This window comes from Homo sapiens, chromosome 7 (genome assembly GCF_000001405.40).
Source record: "Homo sapiens chromosome 7, GRCh38.p14 Primary Assembly".
Classification (NCBI taxonomy): Eukaryota; Metazoa; Chordata; class Mammalia; order Primates; family Hominidae; genus Homo; species Homo sapiens.
In genome coordinates, this window is record NC_000007.14 from 29,291,012 (window position 1) to 29,318,982 (window position 27,971).

Consider the following 27,971-nt stretch of genomic DNA (forward strand, 5'->3'; position numbering starts at 1 on the left):
ATTCTTCCCTGGGGGTGGGTTGTTTGCATGCACAGTGTCCCGCCAGCACTTGGGAGGGGCCACAGGTGCAGTGTGTTTACTGGAGTTGTACCCATGCTCACTTGAGGTGCTTTTCCCTTACCAGCGGAGTGTTTCTAGAGGAAGGTCATATACCAGTTAAATGCCACCATTTTGCCTCTTAGTGCGCATGCTTGGGCCCACTCACCCAACTTCTAAGATCTTACTGAGAAGCAGCTGATCACCAGTTTCAGGTGTTTTCTATCTATTGGGAGCCAGCCGTTCCCTGGCACCAGCTGCAACCAATTATTATTTAAGAGACAGATTAACAACTGCCTGACCATCACCTGATGGTCTCCTGACATTCCCGGTTGGTGGTGGAGGGGTGCTCTCCTGCCCTGCTTGTGTCTGCCTGACTCCCTACTGTAACAAAGGTAATGCTTCTAATTGCCTTTTATGTACATATATACATGTAAATATGTATTTTCTTTTTAAATGTGGTCAGACTGTTCCCATTAAATTTCAAAATCTACCATGGACATATTTCATATCTTTAAGTATTTGACATTATTTTAATGGCTATGCATAGTTCAGTTGCATGGATGGAACTTTCTTTTTTTTAACCAGTCAACTATTGTTACGTATTTAGGTTGATACCAGTTTTTCTTTCTAATAAACCATGCTGCAATGAACATTCTTGTGGCTAAAGCTTTGCACATCCTTAATGTTTTTTTTAAGTATTAAATCCTAGAAGTTGAATTGTTTGATCAAAAACTGCCACGATTCTTACATGAATCTATCCTGTATACCCTTTAGGATGGCACAGAGTATCTGTGTAGCAAAAGTTAGCACCGAATGTTTTCCACACTAAACCTGAGATAGGGAAAGAGCAGGAAGGACTTTTGCCCTTTACTCTCGGAAGTTTTGTTTGTATTACTGCCTGCTATAAATACAAAGAGAAGGACTTGGCTCCTCCTATATTTTGGCTGTTGCAAGCCCTAAATATTTAATTCAATATGTTTAAAGTAGGCCTTATGAACTACCGGGGCGGAGGATTTTATGACACTTTTACCATGATGTGCAAATTTGTATATCCACACTTTATCTGTAGGAGTATCTACATACATTTAGTTATGGGAGGCAGAGGATGGAGCGAGAGACGGGCCAGCACCCTTAATTCTTCTCTGTGTTGAACAGAGATGCATGTTTTTGATATGCTGAGGAGCATTACTATAAAATGCAGACTAATAGTATTTCACTGGAGAATAGAAAATACTTAGGGAAGCTGGAGTGCTCCGAGACAACCTTTCAATCCATTTACCAAAAGAGCTTATAATGGAACTCAGGTTTCAAGGGAGGTCAAACACTAATAAATATTGAGAAAAAATAGTTAAAAGGACATCAAGTTAATATTTTACAATCTATTCTTTGATCTTGGAAGGCTTGAAATATTTTTCTACACTACTTCTGTGATTTATTGATTCACCCCTGCCAATTGGCATATTGGAACAGACACAGATGCCTTGCTTTTAACTACAGCTTCCGCTTCTATAATGCTTTGCAATGCCAACAGATTTTTATGTATTCACTGGCATCACTTATTGATACTGCCACAGTTCTGGAATATTTGCTAGTTAAAAACTGGATCGTTGTCAGTAAAAGCGACTGAAATGTTATTGATTTTTGTTTCAATGCTGTAATAACATCTCTTGGTTTTGTTGTATTGGTTTGGGGGGAAAAGTAAAACACCCTGCATTTCATTGACTCTTCCACCTTTATCTGTATTCAAAATATGTTCAGAATCTGATTATTTTTCTACTTTTGTTGTCACCACCCTAGTCTTGGGGAAGAAAATATATCTGTCACGGATTACAATAACCTCTTAACTGGCTGTTTCCACTCTTGCCTCTCTTCAGTCTATTCTGAACCCAGAAGCCCGAGAGAGCTTCCAAAATGTAAGTCAGATGATGTCACTCCTCCGTCTTTGCACTCAGAGCCAGCCTCTGCATGCTGAGCCTCATCTTCCTCACCTGCCACATGCCCCACTCCCCGCTTCCATTGCAAAGACAGAGCTGTCAGGAGAGAGTCTGGATTGGCAGCACTCGTTTGCAGCTACCAATCTCAAGGCCCAGATGCTCTGCCTTCCCTGCTGTTTCTGAAGGTGATTGTCCCTGCTGCTGCCTAAGGGCCCCATTCACTGGTCCATTAAATCCTTTTCCCTCCCACCTTGTCCCCTTGGCCCTGCTGACAATGGCCCCTTCTCCCTCCTGCATCCTCGATTTTCCCCTGAATTAAGGACTGTCGGGCTTTGACCCATCACTCTACCTACACCCTTCTTCTGAGGGCAGCTAATGCCCCCCCCCCCCCCCATATTAACTCCAAGGTCCACTCTCAGTCCTTGCCTTATTTGGCTTTTCAGCCACGCTTGCGAATGTTGATCACTTCCTCCACCTTGAAGGTGCTCCTCTGGCTTCCACAAACTGCACTATCATCCCTCAGACTTCTGGTCACTGTTACTTCTCTGTCTTTACATCACGCTCCTCTCTCCTTCCCTCACTCAGCTCCAGACACACAGGCCTCCTTGCAGTTCCCGCAAACAGGTAGGCTGTGTTTCAGGGCCTCCGAACTTGCTGTGCCTCCTGCTTCGAATGTGCTCTTCCTAGCTGTCCGCATGGCTCTCCGTCCCTCTGTCCATTCAAGCACGTACTTGAAAGGCACAGGTGCTACCTGCGCTCCTTTCCCACACTGTTTCCCCCTAGCACATCTCATTGTCTCGCTCACTATGTGTTTTATGTATGTATTTCATTTATTGTCAGTCTCTGTGCATATAAGCTCCACGAGGCTGGGAATTTTTTTTTTTTTTTTTTTTTTTTTTTGAGACGGAGTCTCGCTGTGTCGCCCAGGCTGGACTGCAGCGGCGCGATCTCGGCTCACTGCAAGCTCCGCCTCCCGGGTTCACGCCATTCTCCTGCCTCAGCCTCCCGAGTAGCTGGGACTACAGGCGCCCGCCACCACGCCCAGCTAATTTTTTGTGTTTTTAGTAGAGACGGGGTTTCACCGTGTTAGCGAGGATGGTCTCGATCTCCTGACCTCGTGATCTGCCCGCCTCGGCCTCCCAAAGTGCTGGGATTACAGGTGTGAGCCACGGCGCCCGGCCTGAGGGTGGGAATTTTTATCTGTTGTGTTCTCTGTTGTATCTCCGGCACCTGGAACAGTGCCTAGTATGTGATGGGTGCATAATAAATATTAGTTGAATGAATGAATGAATATTCACGAGACTGCTAGTAGGGTACTTGGAGAAATACTTTTGGGAGTCTTTGTACAGGGATTTAAAAGATTTATAATTTTCTTACAGTTACATGATTTGGGAAAAACAGGGGTGTTTGGGGACAAAAACAACAAATATTTGGAAGGTGGCATGCCTTTCTTATTTTGCCAGCCTTTCTGTATCCACAGAAACACTTTCTCAAAACTGTAAATTGGGCATATGTCCTTCGTGCCTGCCTTGTAACCGCAAGAAGATACCATTTTTGTGCCGCGTTGAAAGACAAGGACAGAAACAGAGAGAAGCAGCTGAGATCTTAAGTCAGCACGTTTGATTCAGAGGCATTATAAGTGTAGACCTGAGAGACTCTGCTCAAAATGCAGCAAATCCCTGCTTTCTGTCTTTGAGGCCTACTGTACAGGTAGAAATGTCACAGGTCACCACTTTATTTTCCCCACACGTGTCAGCACATTGAGTGCACACAGCACCATCCCCTCCCTGCCTGTTCTCACGTATGTTTTTGTCTTCAAAAATTCCTTCTCTATTTATGCTTGCTGAAATTCCATTCCCTTCAAGGCCCAGCAAAAATGCAGACTTGTGTGTGAAGCCTTCCCAGACCCTTGCAGTCCTCATGGATCCCGCTGTGTGCTATGCTCTTTAGAACAAGCAAGCCACAGGGCAGTCATCCTCTGTATCTTTGCAGGATTGGTTCCCTGGACCCCCCACAGATACCAAGATCCATGGATGCTCAAGTCTCTTATATAAAATAGCATAGTATTTGCATATTACCTACACACATTTTCCCATAAACTGTAAATCATCTCTAGACTACTTATAATATCAAATACAATGTAAATGCTATGTAAATAGTTGTTACTCTGTATTGTTTAGGGAATAATGACAAAGAAAAAGTCTGTACATGTTCAGTACAGATGGAACCATCCATTTTTTTCAAATATTTTTGATTTGTGGTTGGTTGAATCCACAGATGTGGAACCCAGGGATACGAAGGGCCGACTATATCCCTCAGTTTAGCTGTGAACACACACACACACACACACACACACACACACAGATTATAAACCCATTGAGGGCAAGATTATATCATACTTTTTTGGTATTTTCAGCACCTAGAAAATGCCTTGGACACTAAAGGCACTCAGAATTGTAATGAAATGGAAACAACCCCTTTAAAAAAAAAAATCAGGGCCAGGCATGGTGGCTCACGCCTGTGATCTCAGCACTTTGGGAGGCCAAGGCAAGTGGATCACTTAAGCCCAGGAGTTCAAGCCCACCCATCTATTTAAAAAAAAAAAAAATTAAAAAAGATGAGAGAGTTAAAACTGTGAGGAAATCGCTTTATGGTTATTGAGGTGTTTTCTACCAATGTTTTCATCTGGTAGCATGGTCAAATCCCAGTGAGACTTGTCTGTTGAGCCTACTTACTTCTTTTCATAATATTTGTTAGTAAGAGCAGGCAAGTGCTTTTGGGGGCTCTAAGTGAGCCCCTGATAAGCAAGTTTTTGACTAATGCAGATCTGGCCTCTGTGGCATTACTGCCTTTGCCAGCAGAGGGGATTAGGCAAATTGGCAAAGGGTCTTGAGCCAGCAGGGTCTTGTGGGAGGTTTCACTGATGCCTGAGATGTTGGGCATTGGGTCCCAGAGGAAGGAGAGTTGGTGCAATCTTGGCAGCTGAGCTGTCTGTGGGCACCACAGGCTTGTCCATGTTGAATAAATATGTGTTGTAGCTGCGAAGCCCTAGGCCAGGATTACTCTAAAAAGAGAAAGGTCTGTCCGTGTGTAATCACCATTTTTTTTTTTTTTTTTAAGACAGAGTCTCGCTCTGTCGCCCAGGCTGGAGTGCAGTGGCGTGATCTCTGCTCACTGCAACCTCCACCTCCCAGGTTCAAGAAATTCTCCTGCCTCAGCCTCCCAAGTAGCTGGGATTACAGGCGCCCACCACCACGCCCAGCTAATTTTGTGTATTTTTAGTAGAGATGGGGTTTCGCCATGTTGACCAGGCTGGTCTCGAACTCCTAACCTCAGGTGATCCACCTGCCTTGGCCTCCCAAAGTGCTGGGATTACAGGTGTGAGCCACCATGCCCAGCCGTAATCACCTTTTAAAAATTCTAGCTATATCTAATGTGTTTTATTGAAGCATATGCTAAAATGCTGTATTTGTAAGGATTCTCAATGATACTGGGTAAATGACTTGTAGTTTCTGAGTGCTGTGGAGTAAAACAATAGAGAGATGTCAGATACTCCAGAGAAGAGGAAGGGTACCTTCAAGAGAGCATTTCCCTAACAGACTCAGTTAGCTTCATTTGCCTAACAAACAGACTCAGTTAGCTTTGGCCTTGAAGGTATTTGCATGTTATAGGGCAGGGTTTCCTTTCATTGAATACTTTTTAAAAGTGCTTCTTTCTCATAGCTTATGTGTACTCCATTGAAAAAATGAGGGACAGAAGAGATAAAGTGCTCTAAATCTATTTAGCAGTCCTCAAGGGCATAACTACAGCCAGATGTTTAATGAACTTACTATGAATTGTCTTGCAGAGGTACAGAGTGACTTCTTAGGGGTAAACACTTTGCCTGTAACCTGAATTCATGCACAAACTTACCTCTATGACAGGATCCTGGCTGGAGGGGAGATTTGCATTTGGGAGCTGGGCAGGTCCAGGAGGATGCTCTGTTAATGGCTCCTCTGGATTAAGAAGGGGATCTGTCCTAACGTTGTAGGACATTCTTCTTAGTTCAGGTAAAGACAGGGTTCTTGTTACAAGACCATGAAATATTAGGCTCAAAGACACTTTGAAGAGTGAGAAAAATGGAATTTATTGGGTGAAAAGGAAAAAAAGGGGAAACAGGGACCCTCAGCGGAGCAAGACTCCTGCTAGTCGGTTTCCCACCTTACAGATTGAATCCCAGGTTCCACCCTGGAACAGGAGGGGCCAGGCTCCTCGCCCCTGCAAAGGGCACTAAATTCTGTGGCCTCACCCCCCATTCTCCTAGTGTTCTGGGGACCCCTTTACACCTGGCTGTCTCATTCTCCGCTCTGAAGAAGTCCATCTGACTGCAGTTAGAAAGGATAAGGATGAAGACCCATCTTAGCCTCCTGCTGACAGGGGGCGCTGTTTTGGGGAAACGGCAGTCAGAGCTCCCTCAAAGACCGATCTGAGGATCCCCGGAAGAAGGGGCCATCAGCTGAGGCTCTGGTTGCGTGATCATTTGGAGTTTGATGGCCTGAAGTTGAGAAGAGACAAACCAGGTTATTAGAAAACATGTATTAAAACGAAACAAGGTGGGGGGAGGGTAAGGACAGCTCAAAAATCCCGAGGCCTTTTAGTAGTTTGCACAGAGAGAGGGCGGCCAAAAGCCCGGCTGGTACAAAAACGTTACCCTTTTGCCAGCATGTTGGGCTTCTGGGTTCCCTCCCCACCGAGCCCAGTCCTAAGCCAACTAGTTTAAGGCTTGGGAAATTAACCTTTCCCAGTTTGGAGGATGCACCCGAGGGGAATGACCCATTAAACAGAGACACGATTACCTATCTGTGAAAAGAGGACAGGGGAGGAGAGAGGAAAAAAGAAGGCGTTTTTTAAAGGAGTCCCAGGGGTTCAGGATGCATTTGAAAGGGGTACAGACTGAAGATGAATGGCTACCCGTCTAGAAAGAGGAGAGCAGGAGTCCCTAGTTCCCTTCTTTGCTATCAAATACCTGGGGTTCGTGAGGGAGAGAAGGAAGAGCATCTTCCTTGCATCCCCGAGGCCTTGGTGACTTCGGCAGGCACCACCCACGGGTGCCAAAGCGGCTTTCACCTATGAAGCAGGGCGGCCTAAAGCATAAGAATTATTTGCTCTCACTTATGTTTCTATCCCCACTACTGTTAGTAGCCTTGGAGTTCCCCAGACCTCATTTATGCCATAGATAGTAGCACCACCCTTATTTATGAAACAAGAGGCTTGGCTTCATCAGCAGGAATTAGCCATGCTCACTTGTGCTCTGTTAACCTAGGTTACTGTTTGCCTTTGGATTTCTTAGCTCCAGTTTCCCCCGTCCCCCCTCCCCCGCGACCAGGGCTTTGACCCGAAGCTTGGAATTAAGTTTGGGACAAAAATGTGTTTCGGGGGGGTTGCATGGACTCCTTATAAGCCGAATGCTAAGGTGAAGCTGTGGAACTTAGTCCTTCTCCAACAAGGGATAGAAAAGGATGTCTTGTGACATGCCCAGGTAACTGGTGGCTACAGTAATGCTTGCTGAGATTTGGGTGCACGGTGCTTGGCTTTGGTTAGCTCCCTTGCTTTCATTTTCCCAAAAAGGAAACCTCCGAGTAATGGGCATCCTATTTATCCCCATCACCTGGCAGGATTAGCAGGAGAATTGCTTAGAACTAGAATATCGATCCAGGTTTTTAAATGCCTCATCCCTTTTGTTCCTTCTGAGCTGCAGCTGGAGATTGCTGGTTGGTTTACAAGAACAAGCAGGTTAGTTTAAAAATGTAGGCAAAAACTTAAAAACTACTAATGAGTTTAGAATTTAATGACAAATGTATGATAAGTTTTGAAACATAATTTCTCTCTTTCTCCAGTCCTCATTTTTGTTAAAAAAAAAATTATGATAGGACTAAGTTGTTTGCAAAATAGACTTTAGTTTTATACTGGGCCTGATTATTTGCATAAAGTGCAGCAAGGATAACTATTTTTACCAAGGCCTCTTATTTTTTCTCAGATACTTTGAAGGGTGAGCAAAATTGAATTTATTGGGAAAAAAGGGGAAGCAGGGATTCTCCGCAGAGCGAGAGTCCTGCTAGCTGGCTTCCTGCCTCACAGATTGAATCCCAGGTTCCACCCTGGAACAGAAGAGGCCAGGCTCCCCACCACTGCAAAAGGACCAAACATCCTATGGTTCCACCCCGTGCTCCCACTGCGTAGACCGGTCGGAGTTTCTCCGGGGACCCCTTTCTACTTGGCTGTCTTACTAAGGAACATAACCAGTACTGATCCGTGGTGATTTCTGTTGTCATAAGATAATGTACTGTCTGGTTTCATTGAAATCTTGTTTATCATGTGTGTTCATCATGGGGCACCTAAATCAACACATTCCTGACCCCATAGGCAGTGCTGTCTGGGAGACCTTAACAAAGGATTTGCAGTCAGGTTGAGTTTCATTTTGGGGAGTGTTTTCTGTTCTAGTACTTTCAGAAATTTTTGCTCACTGTATCCAGCAACACCGCCTCTGCTGCTTGCTAGCTCTTTGCTTCATTGTGCTCATACATCAAATAAGGATGGGGATGTCACCTTTGTCAGGGGTCTTGAGATAATAGATAATAGTTCTGGAAAGCACAACATGGATGTAATGTATTATTATTATTAATGCACATGACTCAAAACTCTAACTTATAAGAGTAATGCAATTATGAAATGAGGTTACTAATATTGCTTGTTGTCCCATAATTCCTGTATTTCCATTGAGCTTCTATTAAGTAGAAGGCATGGAATACTGAGCTAGAAACACAAATAACTGATGATGTAGAAAGCATTTTAAGAAACAAGTAGACAACTGTCCATGAGAGTGCAGATAAAAGCATAAGTTCCCGAGAAGGAGAATCAGGGAAGACCTGGAGGATGAAGCAACTTGGGGATGGGCCATGGGCATGGGGAAATGGGATTCCAAACAGAGAAAATAACATAGAGTAAAAAACTGGAGGCAGGAACCCAGAGGGGCCCAGAGTACTGAGTGCAAATTAGACTGGGAAGAAAGATGGGAGCACGGACTGGAGCCGTGGGATGTTTTTCCCTTTGCAGTGGGGAGGAGCCTGGCCTCTTCTGTTCCGGGGTGGAACCTGGGATTCAATCTGTGAGGCAGGAAGCCAGCTAGCAGGAGCTGCCAGATTATGGAACGTCTTACATGTCAAGCTAAGGAATGTGGAATTTCTAGCAGAAGCAATGGTAAGCAGAGTGTAGGATGAGGGAACCAGATGCAATAGACCAAATGAGGTGTTGAAGCCTTCAGGGCATTTCAGAAAAAATAGGAGGTGAGGGTGAGGCAAGAAAGACCCTGAAAGAAGAGACAGGACTTGGCCATTAGTGACATATGAGAAACAAAAGTGAGCTAGGGAGAGGAGGGTGGGGCAAGGGTCAGGTAGTTCATTAGGGCAGGAATGCCTTCCTGGGCCTTTGACACTGGCTTCTGAATGGACAATCTTGGGAAAACATTGCCCTTTTATATTTCTTCCCAATTTTGAGTGATGCTATTTTCTACTTCTAATTGTGCTCAAAATAGCCAGAGATGCAGCGTAATACTTGGAGTCAACAAAATGATATGGTGGGTCAAATTTGTAAAGCTAAAAAAAAGTAGTGATTCAGTGTTCAGACTTGAAAAGTTTCCTTGTTTCAAAAAACACCAAAACATGAAATTCTGAATTAATGAAGCAGATAAATTAGCAGGTGATTATTTGAATAACAAAAGAAATATTTTCCAAAAGCCCCTTTTTTCAGGAATTCTTTAAGCAGCAAGTATGCCTAGTCTTCACCCCCATTTAAAATGTGATTTATTTGTAGGCATTTGATGAAACACAGGAAAGGAATGAGCTTATCTCGTAAAACATGATATTCCTTAGAGCTACATGTTACCATGTGCAATATTTTTTAAATGTGTTTATTCTTATATGTATGAAATAACCATAAGATGAAAATTCTCAGAAATTGAATGAGTATCTTTCCATTTTCTTTTAGTTAATTTTGAGAATTAAAGCTGTAATGTTTTATTAAACATATAAATGACAAGTTTAAAATTTGTCAATTGTTTTGAATACTGTCATTTGTATAGTCCCCTAATAAACACAGAGTCCAGAAAGTCCTTTGTCATTTTTTCTTAAAAAGCTTGTGATAAGAAAAGCTTTTATAATGTCAGCTCAGGAAACCCTAACAATAGCTTCCCTCATGCATCCTTAAATGAGGTAAATTTAATTATTTTATGTTTTTCTAGCAGTTCCTACTTTCTTCTATAGAATGCTTTTAAAAATTACTCTTTGCCACCCAAAGTATTTGAAAGCAGGGCCTCAAACAGGTACACACACACACACACACACACACACACACACACACACACACACACAGTTTTTTGGATTCATCTGGAATCTAAGTGCAGCACCAGGTAGACTGCTTTGCCCTAAAAGAGGATCCCAGATGCTCCTGGCCTTTCTGTTGTGTCCTGAACGCTGGATGATCCAAGCCCACTCAGGATGCCTCTTATCCTTTTCTGAAGGGAGAACCTGCTACATTGTAGAGAGTTGGAGATCTGGACTCCAGGCACTTGGGCTGAAGTCTTTGTTCATGCTCTTGCTTGGCTGGGCGACCTTAGCAAGTTTCTTAACATCTCTCTGCCTCATCTCATCTCATCTATGGCATATGAATTATACTACTCACCCTACGTAATCTTAAAAAATTGCACTAAAATGAGAGCACTCTTTGAGTTTTAACACATTGTACAGAAGGAAGTGCTTGTTATCATGGTGGTAGATTTCCTCCCCCTTTCTCTTCAAATAGGTCCATGTTTGAGTTTTTTGGTCTAGGAAAAAAATTTACAGAAATCCCGACTTAAACATATATTTCCACTATCTTCATCGAAGCCATCTGCAGCCCTAGCTAGACTGAAGCTGGCCACTTTGGGGATAGGAGGCAAAACACCATCCTGTCTACCTGTGGCACTGAAATTTGTGAGATGCACTTCCCCTTGAGGAACATGGGCAAAGCCAGAGGAGCCCTAAGGCAGGACCTAATGTCACAGGCTGGAGAATTCCAAGGATAAGGACCCTCAGCCTTTTGCATTGACCCGTGGCTGTCTCTCTCTAACAGAGTGATCTCTAGAGCTACAGTTTAGCGAGCGTGATTTTAAAAATTGTGGTCAAATATACATAACATAAATGTTATCATTTTAGCTGCCGCCACCGCTGCTGCTGCAGCTACTTCTGCTTCTTCTGCTGCTGCTTCTCCCTCTTCTTCCTCCTCTTCTTCTTCCTCCTCTTCTTCCTTCTTCTCCTTCCTTCCTTCTTTCTTCGTATTTCTTCTTTCTTCTTCCAGAGTCTCACTGTGTTGCCCAGCCTGGAGTGCAGTGATTTCAGTTTACTGCAGCTGCAAACTCCTGAGCTCAAGCGATCCTCCCACATCAGCCTCCTGAGTAGCTAGGAGTACAGGCATGTGCCATCACACCCAGCTAAATTTTAATTCTTTTTTTTTTTTTTTTTTTTTTAAGAGATAGGGTCTCACTATATTACCCAGGCTGGTCTCAAACTCTTGGGCTCAAGCGATCCTCTGAAAGTGCTGGGATTACAGATGTAAGCCACTGTGTCTAGCCCCATTTTAACCATTTTTAAGTGTACAGTTTGATGTCCATTCACAGTGTTATGTGGCCATCACCACCATCCAGCTCCAGAGCCTTTTCATCTTCCCAAACTGAAACTCTGTACCGATTAAACAATAACTCTCTATTCTCCTCCCCTCTCCAGAACCTGGCAGCCACCATTCTACTTTCTGTATTTGAACTGACTACTCCACATACCTCATATAAGTAGAATCATATGCTTTTCTTGCTTGGCTTATTTCATTTGGCATATGTCTTCAGAGTTTAGCATGTTGTAGCACAAGTCAGAATTTCATTCCTCTTTCAAGCTAAGTACTGTTCCATTATACACACGTATACACATGTGATTAAATAGTATTCAGCTTAGAGTGACAGATCCCGGTCCCGCCCATCTTCCAGGTCCATCTAGGTTCCAGGGGTCTGACTCAGTACCTCACATCAGGGGCAACAGGCTGTCTATGCCTTGCCATTGTGCGTTGATGCTGGCGTCTGTTTCCCTGTCCCCAGTCATTCATCCCCCTAGTCATTGCCGTGCTGGCCCACGTTCCCCACAGCAAGACAGCTTAAAGTCTGGCTCTCTCTAAGTTATTTTCATGATACGCTTGATGCATATGGATCATCCTTCTTTCCAGAAGGAAACTTGGCAGGCTGCATAAGCCTTATTCCCATTGATGCGCCGCCTTTGGGGCCTGCGGGAATCATTCACCTGTTCTTGTGATGTGCTGGGGCACTAGGACCCACCTGGGTTGTCTCAGTCATTGGCGCAGGCACACCAAGCAGACGTATCCACCCTGACACCTCCCTGTCCTCCCCGCCTCTACCAGCACAGGCAAGTGCCATGCCCCCTTCCCTCTTATTTCCCAGTTCCACCTGGGAGGTTATTATTCACTCCTCTCAGGATCTGCCTGGAGGTGGGTGGAGTTTAGGGCCCTTCCGTAGGGACTCCCCGGTGTCTAATACCCTTCCACCACCTCCATCCATTCACTAGCTTCCCCCAGCCTATAGGACTTTCTTCAGAGCCTTGGATCACTTAACACCTATCCTTCCAAATCATGCCAGGGCTCAAGACTTCGAAGCAGAAGATAATCCATTTCTTAGTTTTCTGCTTTGTGTTTCTTTCCTTCTTTCTGAAGTCATGAAAGCAGGCCGGGCATGGTGGCTCACGCTTGTAATCCCAGCACTTTGGAAGGCTGAGGCTGGCAGATCACCTGAGGTCAGGAGTTTGAGGCCAGCCTGGCCAACGTGGTGAAACCCCATCTCTACTAAAAATGCAAACATTAGCCAGGTGTGGTGGCATGCGCCTGTAATCTCAGCTACTCGAGAGGCTGAGGCACGAGAATGGCTTGAACCCAGGAGGCGGAGATTGCAGTGAGCCGAGATCGTGCCACTGCACTCCAGCCTGGGTGACAGAGTGAGACATCATCTCAAGAAAAAAAAAAAAAGTAGCAAAAGCAGTGTCTTTGGCTGATTGAATAGGTCAGGGTCACTGGGTAGAGGGACAAAATGAAAAACACACAAAAAGCCACTGGAGTTAGTACTTAAAAATATCCTAATTCGAATGTTTCAACCCCACGGTTTAGTAGAAGTACAAGAAGTGTAGAGGACATAAATTAGAGGCAGAACAGAGCCAACCCAATTTGCAGATTGCTGAAGCCTAATCCTTGGCATCCCCAGGAGATTTATATGGTGCGAGACGTAGCTGAGAGTTAAGAAACCAAAAATGACTGAAGGAGCAAATAAACATATTCAGAGAGGCTTAGCCAAATTGTAATTGTAGAGAGAGATGATACCTCATAACTAAACACCATGAAACAATGTAAAATGTAATCAAGTGAACCATAACTGTCCTAATGAATCTGCTTTGGAACTCTAGCATTTCATATTTTAGGATAAAATGGAGTATTCTTATATAACACTATGTTAAATGGAACTATTTTAATCCAGGTTTTGCCTGGGTACCCAATACATTAAATGTGCCATTTAAGAATTTGGTCCAAGACCCCCTTTCAGGAGTACAAAGATTTGCACACGAACTGGTTTTGTGACTCTTAAGCCCTCGCCCATGTAGAATATTGGAGCAAACTGTGTGCTATGTTCTAAATCTCGCCCTCTCCAGAAAGGAAGATATAGGGGGAGGCCAGCCTCTTGCCCCAGGCCCAGAGAGAGAGGCTTCAGCTGGACCTCTTGAATGGTTTAAATAAGTGTCGTCTGCATTTTGAAGGACACAATAGACTGGGACCTGACTCACTCTGAAAAATCTAAAGGGCAGGTTGCTCTGAGATTGTGGCCTTAGGGGATGACTGAGTATCTAGAAATTGTCAGGGCGGAGGATACGTCTGTTTCCCGTGAACCAGATGTGAGCCAGGCCCCAAGGTCAGTTGGCATGGGTTCAACTTAGATCCTGTCCTGGAGAGCTACTTGGAGGGGAAAGGGACACTGAAGGGAGGGTGAGCCTCCAGATTTCCAGTGGCCAAGGAAGGAGCTCTAAACAGCCAGCGTTTGCCTGCACAGAGGATACGACAGGCAGGCCAGGAAATTCCCAGTGATTGTTGCCGGGGAAAGGGGTGTTTTTCTGAGGACCCCATGAATCATTCCAGAGAAAGAAGAGTGTTTATAAGGTTTCAAAGAGGTATAAAAGATCCTTATCCAACAATGTTTTTTTAAAGCTCTTACTATGTCAGGCAACCCCATTACGTATGAATAAAAGAAATGGCATGGAGAAAACATCCCTTTACCTGCTGTCCATATTCTACATGCTCTAAATCATAAAATATTCAGCACCCAACATTCTAACAGGGATAGTCTCTTCTATGATAAAGATCAGTTTTTTTTTTTAGTTTTGATACTTATCGTTATTTATTACAAAGCTTGTGATTTGGAAGAAAATTTGCATTTGTTAATTCTTAAGCATGATAAAATGGAAAGTTGGGTCAATAGCTGGATAATTTTTAGAGACTAGTAATCAAAGCAATTGTAGAGTTAGCTATTTGATTGGCATTGCGCAGAATGAAAAGCCTGATAAAGTTTACTTGTGTAGAAAGCCACACTGGCTGCCCAGAAGCTAACTCTTTGGGCCCAAATTTTACTCTTCTGAAAAAGAATGTGCATCTATTTCATATGTAAATCTTTCTTCCCTCTCCTCCCTTCTCCTCCCCTCCATCCTCCCGTTCCTTCCTCCTCGTCTTTCTCCTCCTCCTCCTCCTCCTTTTCCTTTCTCTCTTTCTCCCCTCTTTCTACCCCTCCAACCCCTTCCTCTTTCCCTCTCCTTTTCCCCATCCAAACTTAGACACATGCTTACTTGAATCTTTATTACTATATTAGATTTCTGTGTTTCATATCTAGAATGCTCACTTCTAGCTCTGCTGGAATGGTATAGCTAAAGGAGAAGCAGTGAAGATTGTGGGCCAAATGCACAATCGTTGTCAGACAAGTATCTCAGGATGTTCCCAATACCATAATTTTACTTTCTGTCCCGTCATAAGTTAGGGCCTATTTAGGATTTGTTATGGAAGCTGGTATGTGATTATTCATTGATTTACTCAATAGCGCACTGTGTAAGTCAATAAATCTTTGGTCCCTAAACTGGTGGTGTCTTAAGAAGCAGACTTGAAAGCATTCTATTGCCTTATCAGTTTCCTGGGAGGATATCTGAAGATTAAAAACTGCAGTCAAGGTAAGCATTTGCTAGGAAGTTAATTATTGGTATCTCTGAAAATGGAGGTACTGGCATCATGCAAAAGAAAGGAGGAACGCACTGATTGAGTTGCTTGTTTAATAAATAATAGAGGATTCACAAAGCAGCAAATGTAGAAGAGATGTGATGGGAAGGCAAAATTCCTTTGTGAGGTGTCACTTAAGAGAGTGCTGATTGGTCAGAAGATGAGTATAAACTGAGAGGAGGGGCTGTGGCAGGAAAGGGGGACCCTGGGTGTTAAAGCCCAAGGCGATAGAGCACATGCTGAATGAACTGTTATATCCTTGCCCTGTGACACATTCATCCCCAGGAACAAATGTCCAGGGAATCTTGTGTTCAAGGTGATTTTTCAAGTGTATTGTTTATTATTTAAATGTAGCAAATCACTTAATCCAGTGTAATCAGTATGTAAGAATTGCCGTGAACTCCCTCCTGTCCCAGTAGCTTTGTTAGCATCCTTGAGGGCTGACAGCAAACTTAATCAGGCCAGCTTGAGTGGAATGGCTTTGGGTGATTTGCATTCTGCAGAATTGCCAGATTCCTGTCCTCTAACACAATAATGAGTGTTTCCATCCAGTGGTGTGAAGCATGTGGAATAATTAGCTCTCAGCGTTAAAGATGTGACTAGTAACGTCCAAGCCTCCTTCCTCTTAAGAGTATGATTTTCTTATGGTGACATTTTCAAGAGGACATCCGTAATCTCTCATTTTGGGGACAGCAGGAAAGAGATGTGCCTGGATATATCCTATCAGTGTTCGCTGATTCGCCTTCAGCTAAATCATTTAACCAGACCAAGGGAACTGAGATTTGAGAAGCTCAGTTGTCTGTAAATCTAATGGTTCCCAACTTACAATCACTTCAGATGTTTTGAGGGGTCTGCAGCCTCTTTTATACATTTTTAAAAGCCTAATAAAAAAGCTAATGGAATAATTATCTATCAGTAACTACATAATAAGTTCAGTTTGTTTTGGAGATCAGATCTTTCAAATCATCCAGTTTGAAGGGAAAGAATAAAAGGAGTCTATGAGTTACAAGGTTGGTGAGTATGATTAGTCAACATCAATTTACAAGTAATGGTATTCCTACTGTGGTGAACCGAATAATGGTCCCTGCAAACATGTCTCTGTTCTAATGTCTGGACCCTGTGAATATGTTGTTACATGTCAAGTGGGAATTAAGATTTCAGATGAAGTAAGATTGCTAACCAGGTGACCTTGATTGAGATGGGCAAATTACCCTGGATTATCCGAGTGGGCCAAGTGTAATCACAAGAGCCCATTTAAGGCAAAGTAGAGTGTGAGAGTCAGAGAGTCATTGAAGGATGCTCTGCTGCTGGGTTTTGAAAAAGAGAGGAAGGGACCAGGAGTCAAGGAAGGTGGACAAAATAGATTCTTCCTTAGCGTCTCCACCCAGCTGTTGAATTTGCCTCCTGGGCACACAGGAAGTCTGCATGCCCAGCCCTTCACATCCAATTGGGGCCATGTGGAATGTGGCCCAGGTGATGTTGCTCAGAAAGAACCCAGCCCAGAAAACACCTTGATTTGAGCCTAATGAGACCTATTTTGAATTTTTGACTTCCATAATTCAAGATATTAAATTCTTGTTTTTTTAAGCCACTGAGTTTGTGCTAATCTATTAAAGCAGCAGTAGAAAACTAATGCATTTAGCACTGCATCTTTCTGGATTTTTGGTCATTTTAAATAAATCAGCTAATAGTGTCTACTGGGTATCTCGGCATACAAATAACTGTGTCAAAGGAGTTGGAAAAGTATGGAGAATGTAGAATAAATCCAAACTCTAATTGTTGTCTACAAGCTCCTGCTTTTTCTCTCCTTCCTGTCTTTCCAGCCTTACCTTATGTTACGCTGCACTCTCTCAGCTCCCACTCCTCCAGCTGTCTTTCCATTCCTCAGACTTCCTGCCGTGGGCCCTTGGCTCATGCTGTTTCCTCTGCCTTGAATACCCTTATTCCAGATCTTCCAAGAACCGGCTTCTTCCCATCTTTTAGGCCTTAGCTTAACCCTTCCTCCTCTGTTAGTCAGAAGAGTCTAAGTGCTATCACTTACAACCCAATATCCTAGTGGTTTAAAACAATAAAGCACGTGTCCCTCACGTCACAGTGCAAGGTGGTTGGGGTGTGTGTGTGTGTGTGTGTTGGGATAGGAATTGGGATTCTGCTTTGTTCCACACAGCCACCAACCATTCCAGCTTGTGACCTCTCTTTCCCCCGGTGCCTTCTCGGAATCCTTAGCAGGATCTCTGCAGTCACCTGCTGAGGAGCAAGGAATGCGTGGAGGATTGTGTGGGCTGGGCCTGGAATGAACATCACCTGGGCCACATTCCATATGGCCTCACCTGGATGTGAAGGGCTGGGCATGTAGTCTTCCTGTGTGCCCAGGAGGAAAATTCAGTAGTTGGGTGGATAATAGCCCTGTTCTGCCCTTCCTCAGAGATGCCTCTTATAACCGTGCTAAGCAGATCTGTCTCATTAGCCTCTATGAAAACACCTTATTTAGTTCCTCCATTGCACTTTATACTCAATAATTTTTTGGCTTCTTTGTTAATTGTGTTCCTCTCCAAGACCAGAAGGGTGTGAGGATAGGAACATGTCTGTTTTGCTCACTACTATGTGCACAAACCTGGCAATGCAACATCTTGCACAGAGTAGATTACCCACCAAGAATAGTTTATTAGTATGTGATGAATGGATGATGAATGAATGACCCAACAAGTGAATGAATGGAAAGCATAGACCTTGTCTAGAGGGTATCCACTATTATAGCAAGGACAGAATAAATAGGTCATAGTCTTTTACAAGAATAAATTTCAAGAAGCAGCCAAAAGCTTTTTTTTTGTTTTTGTTTTTGTTTTTAGAAATAAAGGACTTTGGCCTACGGTTCAAAAAGTGTTTGGAAAGTCACCGCTCTTTGGGTTGTAGAATTTGAGTCCAGTCTTCCAGATGAGCAGCCTGAGAGTAGCAGTGCTCTCCTTATTTGGGTTGATTAATTCTGCTCTTGTATTTCTGAGAAAGTGTAGACCCTTTCAGATACCATCCTAACTCTTCCCCCACCCTTCCCTTCTCCACTCATAGAGGACAAAGCATTTGGCTCCTCTCCTCCTACCACCTGTTCCTATTAATATATTCACAGTGGCCCCCGGTGGTGGGAGCATGCCACCTCAGATGAAGGAGTTTTCTAATTTTGCTTCTCCTTTTCTTTCCCATTGTCATTGTCCTTTCTGGCTTAGCATGAGCTAGTGGCATGTGGCAGTCTGAGAAGTGGAATGCCTAACCCAAGGAAATAAATGATGCATAATCAAATCCAGTTGCGTAACTTCGGGAGTTTGTGTTTTCTTCTGTTGATTCACGAAGATCAAGGAGCTGATGGGAATAGGTTCTGGCCTTGCCACCAAATGTGCTTCTCCTCCCATTTTCTGAGTAGGGCTCCAAGGGAGGTGCTGGGCCACTTTGCCACGCAGGCTGGTTGCTGCCTCATCTCCTGCAGGTGAGGGTGGAGACCTCGCGGGCTCATGGGCCCTGCTGTGGCTGTTACATGGATCCAGGTTGTCTAGGGTCTGGGGAATGCTGCTGAAGGGGCCCAAGTGCCTGTACCCTGGAAGCACTGGCCAGGCAGGACTCCCTGCCTCAAATGGGCCTCTCCCACCTTGTTCTGTCTCTCATGGGGCAGGCACATGGCATTTCCTAGGTGGGGGGACCAAGAAGCTGTGGCTGGATTAATTCTTGTGAAGAGTACAATAAACTACATTTAACTTACTTTCCCTTACTTCAACATGGTTACACGGATAAAATACATTAAAATGAACACTAAAATCAAGTATGTGGACAAAGATGTATCAACAGGAATGTTCAGTAATAGAAAAAAAACTGGAAACAACTTATACATTCACATAAGGGAGGAGATAAAAATAAATTATGATACATCCATAGAGTGGAATACTTGAAGCCATTAAAATTGAACATGTAGAAGAATATTGAATGAATATAATCACATTCATGTTTAATTTTTAAAAATCAAGCTGCAAAACAGTGGGTACCATATGATCCTGTATTTGCAATTAAAATGTATACAAATATAAACAATGGAAAATATAAAGATTGAAACGGGATGCTTAGTTCAGTAAATGGGATTATGAGTGATTGTTGTTTTATTCTTAGTGCCCAACGGTAGTTCCCAAATTTTCTGTATTTAATACATATTTGTTTTGAAAGGTGATATAAAATTCTAAAATGGTATTTTAAAAATTAGATGACTGTCTTAGTTCATTTGGGCTGCTATAACAAAAACATCACAGAGTGGGTGGCTTATAAACAACAGAAATTTGTTTCTTACAGGTTTGGTGTCTGGTGAAAACCCATTTCCTGATTCATAAACAGGGCCTGTGTCCTCACTGTGTCCTCACATGGTGGGAGGAGGAAGGTGGTTCTCCAGAGTCTCTTCTAGATGGCACTAATCCCATTTCTGGGGGCTCCACCCTCATGACCTAATCATCTCCCAAAAGCCCCTCCTTCTGACACCATCACATTGGAGGTTAGGATTTCAACATAAGAATTTTAGGGGGATGCAAGCATTCAGTTTATGACATTGACTAAATTCTCCAAATAATTACTTGTTTATTAAAAAGAAAACTATTGAAAGAATTCTTAAACAACAAAACAAGTCATTAATGTGCAATTTAAAAAGCCCCATAACCTGCTTTTCTGTCTGTCCTCAGTACAGATGTTTTCCCTTCCTACTGCACACTTAATAAGTCTCCGAGCCTTGTAGATTCATTGTAGATTCAGCCTTGTTAGCATCTCTTGTATCCAGTCCCTCCATCATATTCTCCCTGCCCCTGCCTTTGTCACCTGTTGATGGGACTCCCTGCCTCCTGGCTTTCACTTACACCGTTCCATTGTCCTTCCTGTCACCGACAACCTGGCAAATGTGATCCATCTTAAGAGGTTCAAGGGCCACGTGTTCTCTTGGAGTCTTTCCTGGCAGTCCCCACTTTTGTCTCCAGAACTGATCCTTCTTTATGCCTCACTCTTTGTTCTGAATCCTCTCACAGAACCTTTTAATCTCTACTGCGCTTCCTGACACTTACTTTGTGCCAGGTACTTTATATTTCTCCCGTATCCTGGCTGTATCCCTGTGAGGATCATAGCCCCACTTCACGGATGAGAAAACTGAGGCACAAAGAGGCTAAGCAACTTGCAAAGACATCACAGATAGGGACTAATAAGATTCAGGTTCAAACACAGGCAGTGTGGCTCCAGCATCTCTATGCTGAGCATATATATCTGCTGCTGCTTCTCATATTTCTAAGGTCTTTCACTTGTCTCTCTTCCCCTACCACATTGTAGAGGGGGGATCATGTGTTAAATTTATCTGTATTTTTTTGGTGCCAAGCCCAGGGGCTGGCATGTAGGAATCTCATAATAAACACTGATTGAATGGCTATTTAGGCAACGAGTATTTACTCAGCATCTGCCATGTGTCAGGCATTGTTTTAAGCACCCACCTGAAATAAATAAGCAAGAAAACAGATCAAGAGTCTTGCCCTCAATAATGGAGGAGGGGGGTGACTTAGATTCTAGAAGAACATGTCAAGGGCAAGTTAGGTAAATGATTGAGGTAATATTTAGATGACATTTTTACTCCTGTATCCATGCTTCTCTAGTTCTCTTCTTTTAAATTTTGGGTATGATTTGAGGCAACTACAGTACTGGAAATTAATACAAATCCTTCATTTGTCATATCAGAGCTCTGTAACTGGTCACATATAAGCGAGCTGTCAGTGGTCGAATCATGACTGCCTGTTGCTTCTCAATGGTTTGAAAACAGTTTTTTGAAATGGCATTACATTTCTCATTTCTTCATGCTCTTCTTTCTTGCTTATCTTTTCCACTTTTTTTCTGCTTTGCTCCACCTGTTCTCTTGAGAAACCATCTCAATCCCTCCTGCTTCTTCCTACCTCATTCTCTCCCTCCCTTGCTTCTTAATTTCCGTTCCCCTGAACCTTGCCAAATATGTTTTTTTGAACAGTTGATCAAAACTCATCAAGCACAATGTGATTTTCTCTTTCAAACTGTAGGTAAAATGGAGAGGAATTAATCTGACCAAAGTGTGTGTCACCACATGCCATAGATTTTGTCTGGGGGCAGAAGAAGGGAAAAGAAGCTAACTTTATTATAGAGGTCAGAGCAACCTCACAATGTCGATGTGGTTTCTGATTTATTGTAACACAGCAGAGATTCAAAAGGATTAATAGTCTAAGTGACCTAAATAATAATGAGCGTGCAGAAGAACATGTTCTTCAACATGTTGCTTACTGCCGTAGAGAGAGTGGAGCTCTGAAAAAAATTTGCTTCTCCTGCTTGAAGAATACATTTTTCTAGGGTGTCACTTATTAAGATGAAATTGATGTATTAAGAAACTCAGACTATTCCCAAATAATGGCATTATTTTTAAAACAAATGGAGTCTTACAGGAATAGAAATAACCTATTATACTTGCAAAATACCAGCTTAAAATATACCACCAGAATATGCTATTTCTTCATTTTTGCCTCCCCACACTCCAGTCTCCATGAATGCAAAGCACTCTTTCCTTAGACCCTACATTGAATTCTGATGGCTATGGTGTGACCATAGGAAGCCTCTGCATTTATCAGTAGTTTCCCTGAATCTTGGGTAATCATACAACTCATATTTCCAGAACTTTATCTTTTACATGTATTCTTTTTTATCGGACTCTCTTCCAAACATTGTCAGTATTCCTCTATCCCTGTCAGTCCACTCAATTCTTTAATTCTTTCGTAGATTTCCAGCCTCACTGAACCAGCTCACAAGTCACCCATGACCCGCCCAATGCCAAAACCAAGCTTTTCCCTCAGCCCTAGTCCTCCTCAGCCTTCCAGAGATAAGTGGAATTCCTGGGTTAATGCCTGCATTCAGGTTTTTCCCCAGGAACAAATGGTCACATTTTAAGGAGGACTGGGGGAGAAATAGTCAAGGCCCTATGAACCCAAACTGGGAGGATTCCCCTGAAATAGAGGAACTCTGGTGTAATGAGAACATCTTCACAGAGCAGGTGAGGCAGATGATCTTCCTGATTGAGTTCCCAGAGGTGTCAGCTCACTCTCAGAAAAATGCAGAAGCAGCCCTGGCCCTACCCGAGGCCCCACACTCCCTACAGTCCTCTGCTGAGCTCTCTGTTGCCTGCCAAGGTGGGCCACACTCTAGGAAAGCATCTCATTTAGAGAAATGCTGTCTTTAGAGATACAGTATTTGACCAACCCTGGAAGCAAAGATTAAGCTCCCTAAACCCGAAAACATTCACTCCTACAATGGTCCACTTGGGAAAATTCCTCTAAGAGACTCATTGATACCTTGATTCTTGTTTTCTCCTTCTTCTCCCCTCTGGCTCTTCGTGTTCATACCCTTTATCTCCTCTACAGCAGAGATGGGGGTCTTAAGGTGGTTTATGGAAATAACTTACTACGAGCGTTCATCGTTTTTAGAAATTGTACACGATGCAAGAGCTCCTTGGAGTCACAGGCTCTCAGCCTCTGTCTAGGGAGTGCCATTCCTATTTGGTTAGAGCCATTCTGCCCAGTGTATTCCTGGTGGCCTCTTTTTAAATCTCCCGTCCTTAGTGCTTGCCAGTATATACACTAATGTTGATATTAGCATGGGACCATATGATGCAGAAATTCCACTTCTGGGTACCTATCCAAAATAATTAAAGGCAAAATTTCCAAGAGATATTTGTACACCATGCTACAGTAGCATTATTCACAATAGTCAAAAAGTGGAAGTAATTCCAGTGTCCACTGAACAAACAAAATATGGATTCTACATACAATAGAATGTTATTCAGCCTTAAAAGGAAGGATATTCTAATACATGCCACAACATGGATGAACCTTGAGGCCATTATGCTAAGTAAAATAAGACAGTCACAACAAACAATATGATTCCACTTATATGAAGTACCTAGAGTAGTCAAATTCACAAATAGAGGAAGTGGAATGGTGATTTTCAGAGGCTGGAGTGAGGGAGGAATGGAGATTGGTTGTTTAATTGGCCTTGTTGCAGTTTTGCAGGATGAGGAGAGTTCTAAAGATTGGTCTCACAACCATGTCAATGTACCTAACGCTACTGAACTGTACACTTCAAAGTTAAGATGATAAATTTGATGTGTGCATTTTGTCACAATGAAAAATAAAATTAAGTGTAAAACTATTTTAACCTGGAAGAGGAATTAGAAAGTAACATCACCACCAACAAAAATATTCAAAGAAGGTATTAATTCACTGAAAATTCCAAGAAGTGAGAGTTCACTGAGCAGGGAGGCAGAGCATTCAAGATGACCATTTAAGATGAACTGAGGAGGATAGGTAGGGATCCAAAGTGAAATGGAAACAGTTTTTAAAAAATTACTTGCATTTCCACTGAAGGGTGAATAATTGAGCCTTTACTGCTGTTTATTTTTCTAGCGTCTTATAAGCTGTTTATTTATGTTTAATTATATATTTGTTTTATATATATATATAATTGTTATATTTAATCAAGCTGCCACTTGATTAAAACGACATCTTGGGTTTATGTGGGCAAGAGAATTCCAAGTGCCACCAAATCCCTCAGAACTAATTACACTGTAAAATATCAGCATCCTCAATGTAGAAGAGTTAACCTTACTGTAATTTAGTATTCAATTATGAAAATATTGTATAATATCCTGAATTCTTATGAAATTATTATTTTTTTCATATTTCTGGGAAACAAAGCGATGTATTTATTTCTGTTTTGTGGATTACCTGAGAAACAAGAAGATGAGACATGTGATACTATGTATGCTTCTAGTGCAAGGATCTTCTCATTATGAAATGCATTACTTTGTGATGGTTATATGTGAGAGGAAGAATATGTCAAAATTGCCTGGCAAATCCTGCTTATTTTGATCTGCTCCATCTTTCTCAGCTTTGGCAAGCAAGCACAAAGATTGCAATTTCCCTTGTATGATCCCAGAAAGCAGATTGCTGAATCATGAGTCCTAACTTCAGGTTGAAGGTGAAAATAATTCCTTCAGGGAGTAATACATAGCTACAGTCTGCAGAATTAAGCTGATAAGAGATGACATTGCATTAGGAGGTTACAATAATAGGATCACCTTAAATTAAGCTCCCTGAATGAATAAAATAAGCCTATTACTCTGTGGTTCACCTCAGCCTTGTAAAATGCCTGGCACATCAGAAGTTCTGGAAAAGTGTCAAATAGATGACATAAAAAATGGGGTATTCTGATAATGCAGTGATGGGATTTGAGGATTATCATAAACGATTCATTTTTTTTTCATTCAACAACTATTTCTCAACCTCTCACTTTGTGCTGGGTACCGTTCTAGGTGATTCAGCAGTGAATAAAAGAAAAAAAGTTATTTGTCCTTAGGAATCTTGCCTGCTAATGGGGAATACAGATGATTTTTTTAAATCGTGAAAATGCTAAGAGAGAAGATTAAGTGGGAAGGGAGCTCTAAGATATCATGGTGTATGCTGAAATTTTAGCAAGGGTGGACCATGCATAAATTAGGAAATTTCTAAGAATTAGAATACACAAAAGGCTGTGGTATTTAATACCATTCACCTAGTAGAGCACAAAGACCATTTGTGGGGTATGAGGGAAACTGAAATCTAGGTCTCGCTTTGTCACAAATTCATTGGGCAAGCCATGCTCTCCCCTGGGCTCAGCACGCAGCTGTCAAATGGACAGGTTGGGCCATGTGAACTCCACACCTCTTACAGCTCTAAAGTTGTGTGAGCATTCATGTTTCTTTGATGATCTTAAAGACCCTTCAGGATCTTGCAGTTCAGCACATAAAAACAAATTCCCATGAAACACATTTTATTTGAGCTTCCTGGTCATTTAGATTCTGGATAAATAGGAATTTTTTGCCATCTATATAATGCATAATAAAATCAGGTCTTATAAGATGCCTATAAACTTCCATACCTTTGTAATCATTTTCTTTTATAATTTCAGGTAAGGCAATTTGCTTCCCTTCATTAGAGATAAGTATAGGCACAGAGCAATTTATATGAGTTGATTATAGTGCATTTTACTATAATTCCATGGTAAAAAAGCCTGATTAGAATCACATATTCACTGTAGCACCTATTTTCTGACACAGTTCAGTATCATGCAGGTTCCTTAGAAATTGTCGGAGGGAATGTAATTATCCAAAAATGCTGAAATTACTTGTTGTAAACTAGCCTATGTGTTATGGATCCATGGCTTATACTAAAAGCCAGTTTTCAGGTAGAGTTGAATGTAGCTAGAGCTGCTGCCCCCAATGTGACATCAACATTTACTGAATTCATACAAAGATGTGTGATTTTTTTTTTTCCACAATGTTGGGATTATACTTCTAATTTGCCAAAGAAATAGCTAAGCTTTCTAGAGTATGGAGTCTGTCCAGATAATCTTGGTATAGTCTCCTTTTTTGGAGGGTGTGTGGTAGCGGGGGAATCATGTGGTCCCTGGAACTCTGTATGCAATTATTTGCTCTGCTGATAAAAAAAAATGTTTTATTGCTACAAAAAGGGGTGTAGGTAGCTTGAAAATAGGTTTCGATTTAGTCATTGTACTAGAGTTCTGGGAAAACAAATTGTTCTTTTGAATTTCTGAACAATAATAATTTGCTTAAGACATTTTGCACAATCATGATAAGTAACACATCTTGGTAAGGAAGTCTTGCATTGGCAGAGCATCTGTAGAAGGACTGCTACACAGATAATGAGCACAGTTATGTTTAAATTAAATTAAGTGGGCACCAAGGGATAGAAGTAGATAGGGAAGGAGGAAGTAATTGAAGCAGCAAATAGTCCGAGGCACAGAAATGGAAATATGTGTAAACTCTGCAAATTTAAAAGTCACTTGATGCCATAAACTATTTTATTAATTTCTCTGGAGTTTTAAATTGGTACGAGTAATGATGACTGTGGAAAAAAAATCAACATATGCGTCAGAATTGGGGAAGAATCTCTTTGTGTTTAGGCACTTTGGGACCGAAGGATATTTCCCAGATCCTCGATGTGCAAAGTGTGGTCCATGGACCAAAAGCATTCAGTATCCTGGGGACTTAATAGAGATGCAGGATTTCAGGCCCTGCCCAGACCTACTGAATCAGAATCTGCATTTAGCAAAGTCTCCAGGTGATATACATGCATATCGAAGTTTCAGAAGCACTGCCCCAGAGTTGCTAAAACAGTTCATTCATTCATTCATCAAACGTTTTTAGCACCTCTTTCGTATGCCAGACATTAAACTAGACAATAGGAGGGAGAGATCATTAGAAACATAGGTAAGACATGGTCCCTGCACTCAGGGAACATATAATTGAAGTGGGACATATGAGATATGAGGCTGAGGCAGGTGGATCACCTGAGCTCAGGAATTCGAGGCCAGTCTGGACAACATGGAGGAGGCCTGTCTCTACAAAACATACAAACATTAGCCCAGTGTGGTGGTGTGTTTGTACATGTTACGCCGGAGGCTGAGGAGGGAGGATGGCTTGAGCCCAGGCGGCAGAGGTTGCAGTAAGCCAAGATAGTGCCACTGCACTCCAGCCTGGGCAGCAGAACGAGACCCTGTCTCAAAAAAACAAAAACAAACAAAAAACAGATGTGTGGTACTTGACTGTAGGATGCCAGGGTGGAGAATGTAGATGATGCCCCAGTGTTAGCCCTGGGTCCATGAGTGTTGCTGTGTTTACAGAAGACTAGGGGTTAAAGAGAATATGTCTAGCCTTGAAATGTTGGGTTTTGAGGCAGCTGTGGAATTTTTCAGGTGGAAATGTCTAGTAGGCAGTTGGATCTTGGGGCAAGGATCAGTAAACTATGGCTGCACAGACCAACTCCTGGCCTCCACTTGTTTTTGCAAATAAAGTTTTATTGGAACCCAGCCAAATTAATTGGCCTACATATTGTCTCTAGCTACTTCCACACAATAAGGACAGAGTTGAATAGGTGCGACAGAGACTAGGTGGCCCACAAAGCCTAAAATATTTTCTCTCCAGCCCTTTACAGGAAGTTTGTCGACTCCTTTCCCAGAGGGTTCTAGAGAGGTCTGGAATGGAGAAGCCATGTGGAATTCATCCAGGCCTGAGGGGGCTGCTGAGCCTGTCCTGGGAGGATGTAGAGTGAGAAGAGACAAGGGCAAGGTCAGAGCCCTAAAAGAGACACTTCTTCACAGGCTCTTATTGCACCTCAGGTAGCTCCCTGAGCCAGTCACAGTCATTTTTTTCCTGGTAACTTTTGCTGCAGTTATTTGATTTTTTTTTTACCTTGGCATTTGCAAATTGATTAAGCCAAGAAACTTGTACTAGTTCAGTGAACCACCTTGTATCTAATTTATAAACCTAAATTAACAGATTCTGCACAGTAACAAATAGCTATTACCTTTAAATGAAAGCTGCAAGGAACATTATAGTTTGGGCCTAACAATAGAGAAGAATCTCATCTTCCCATGAAATAGAAAGGAAAAATTTAATTTCCTTGTAAATTTGTTTAGCTTGACTCTTATGGCTGGCAGGGCTGTGCAGAGGTGCTTATAGCTCCTGGAAGCTCCAGTTTCCTTAATACAAGCCCCAGAGTA

The 27,971-nt window shown here is 42.4% G+C and overlaps 1 protein-coding gene across 11 annotated transcripts in view, besides 3 other annotated features; it reads left to right on the forward strand.

The window, feature by feature from the left end:
• The window catches only part of CHN2 (chimerin 2), a 367,738-nt gene that overhangs the window by 144,421 nt on the left and 195,346 nt on the right, over positions 1 to 27,971 (forward strand). For 3 of the 11 annotated variants that reach the window (XM_011515105.3, XM_017011722.2, XM_011515107.3), the window contains 2 exons: positions 1,914 to 1,952; positions 2,559 to 2,597. The exons of 4 other annotated variants lie outside the window; for them this stretch is intronic. Coding sequence is in view for 4 of the 7 variants with exons in the window: in XM_017011722.2 (XP_016867211.1) it covers positions 1,914 to 1,952; positions 2,559 to 2,597 (78 nt within the window). In the remaining 3 variants the exon portion in view is untranslated. Of the gene's footprint in view, positions 1 to 1,913; positions 1,953 to 2,293; positions 2,598 to 5,388; positions 6,533 to 27,971 lie in introns of those variants that run through there. 4 more of the 11 variants (XM_011515106.3, NM_001293070.2, XM_047419839.1 and 1 more) reach the window with 3 other exon arrangements.
• Positions 12,375 to 12,875: an enhancer, noted in NCBI's record as "H3K4me1 hESC enhancer chr7:29343002-29343502 (GRCh37/hg19 assembly coordinates)". NCBI's record gives its function as "activates a minimal SCP1, AML or CMV promoter by ChIP-STARR-seq in primed H9 embryonic stem cells {active_cell/tissue: H9 hESC(primed)}" and the evidence as "EXISTENCE:reporter gene assay evidence [ECO:0000049][PMID:30033119]".
• Positions 12,876 to 13,376: an enhancer, noted in NCBI's record as "H3K4me1 hESC enhancer chr7:29343503-29344003 (GRCh37/hg19 assembly coordinates)". NCBI's record gives its function as "activates a minimal SCP1, AML or CMV promoter by ChIP-STARR-seq in primed H9 embryonic stem cells {active_cell/tissue: H9 hESC(primed)}" and the evidence as "EXISTENCE:reporter gene assay evidence [ECO:0000049][PMID:30033119]".
• Positions 18,821 to 19,389: an enhancer, noted in NCBI's record as "H3K27ac-H3K4me1 hESC enhancer chr7:29349448-29350016 (GRCh37/hg19 assembly coordinates)". NCBI's record gives its function as "activates a minimal SCP1, AML or CMV promoter by ChIP-STARR-seq in primed H9 embryonic stem cells {active_cell/tissue: H9 hESC(primed)}" and the evidence as "EXISTENCE:reporter gene assay evidence [ECO:0000049][PMID:30033119]".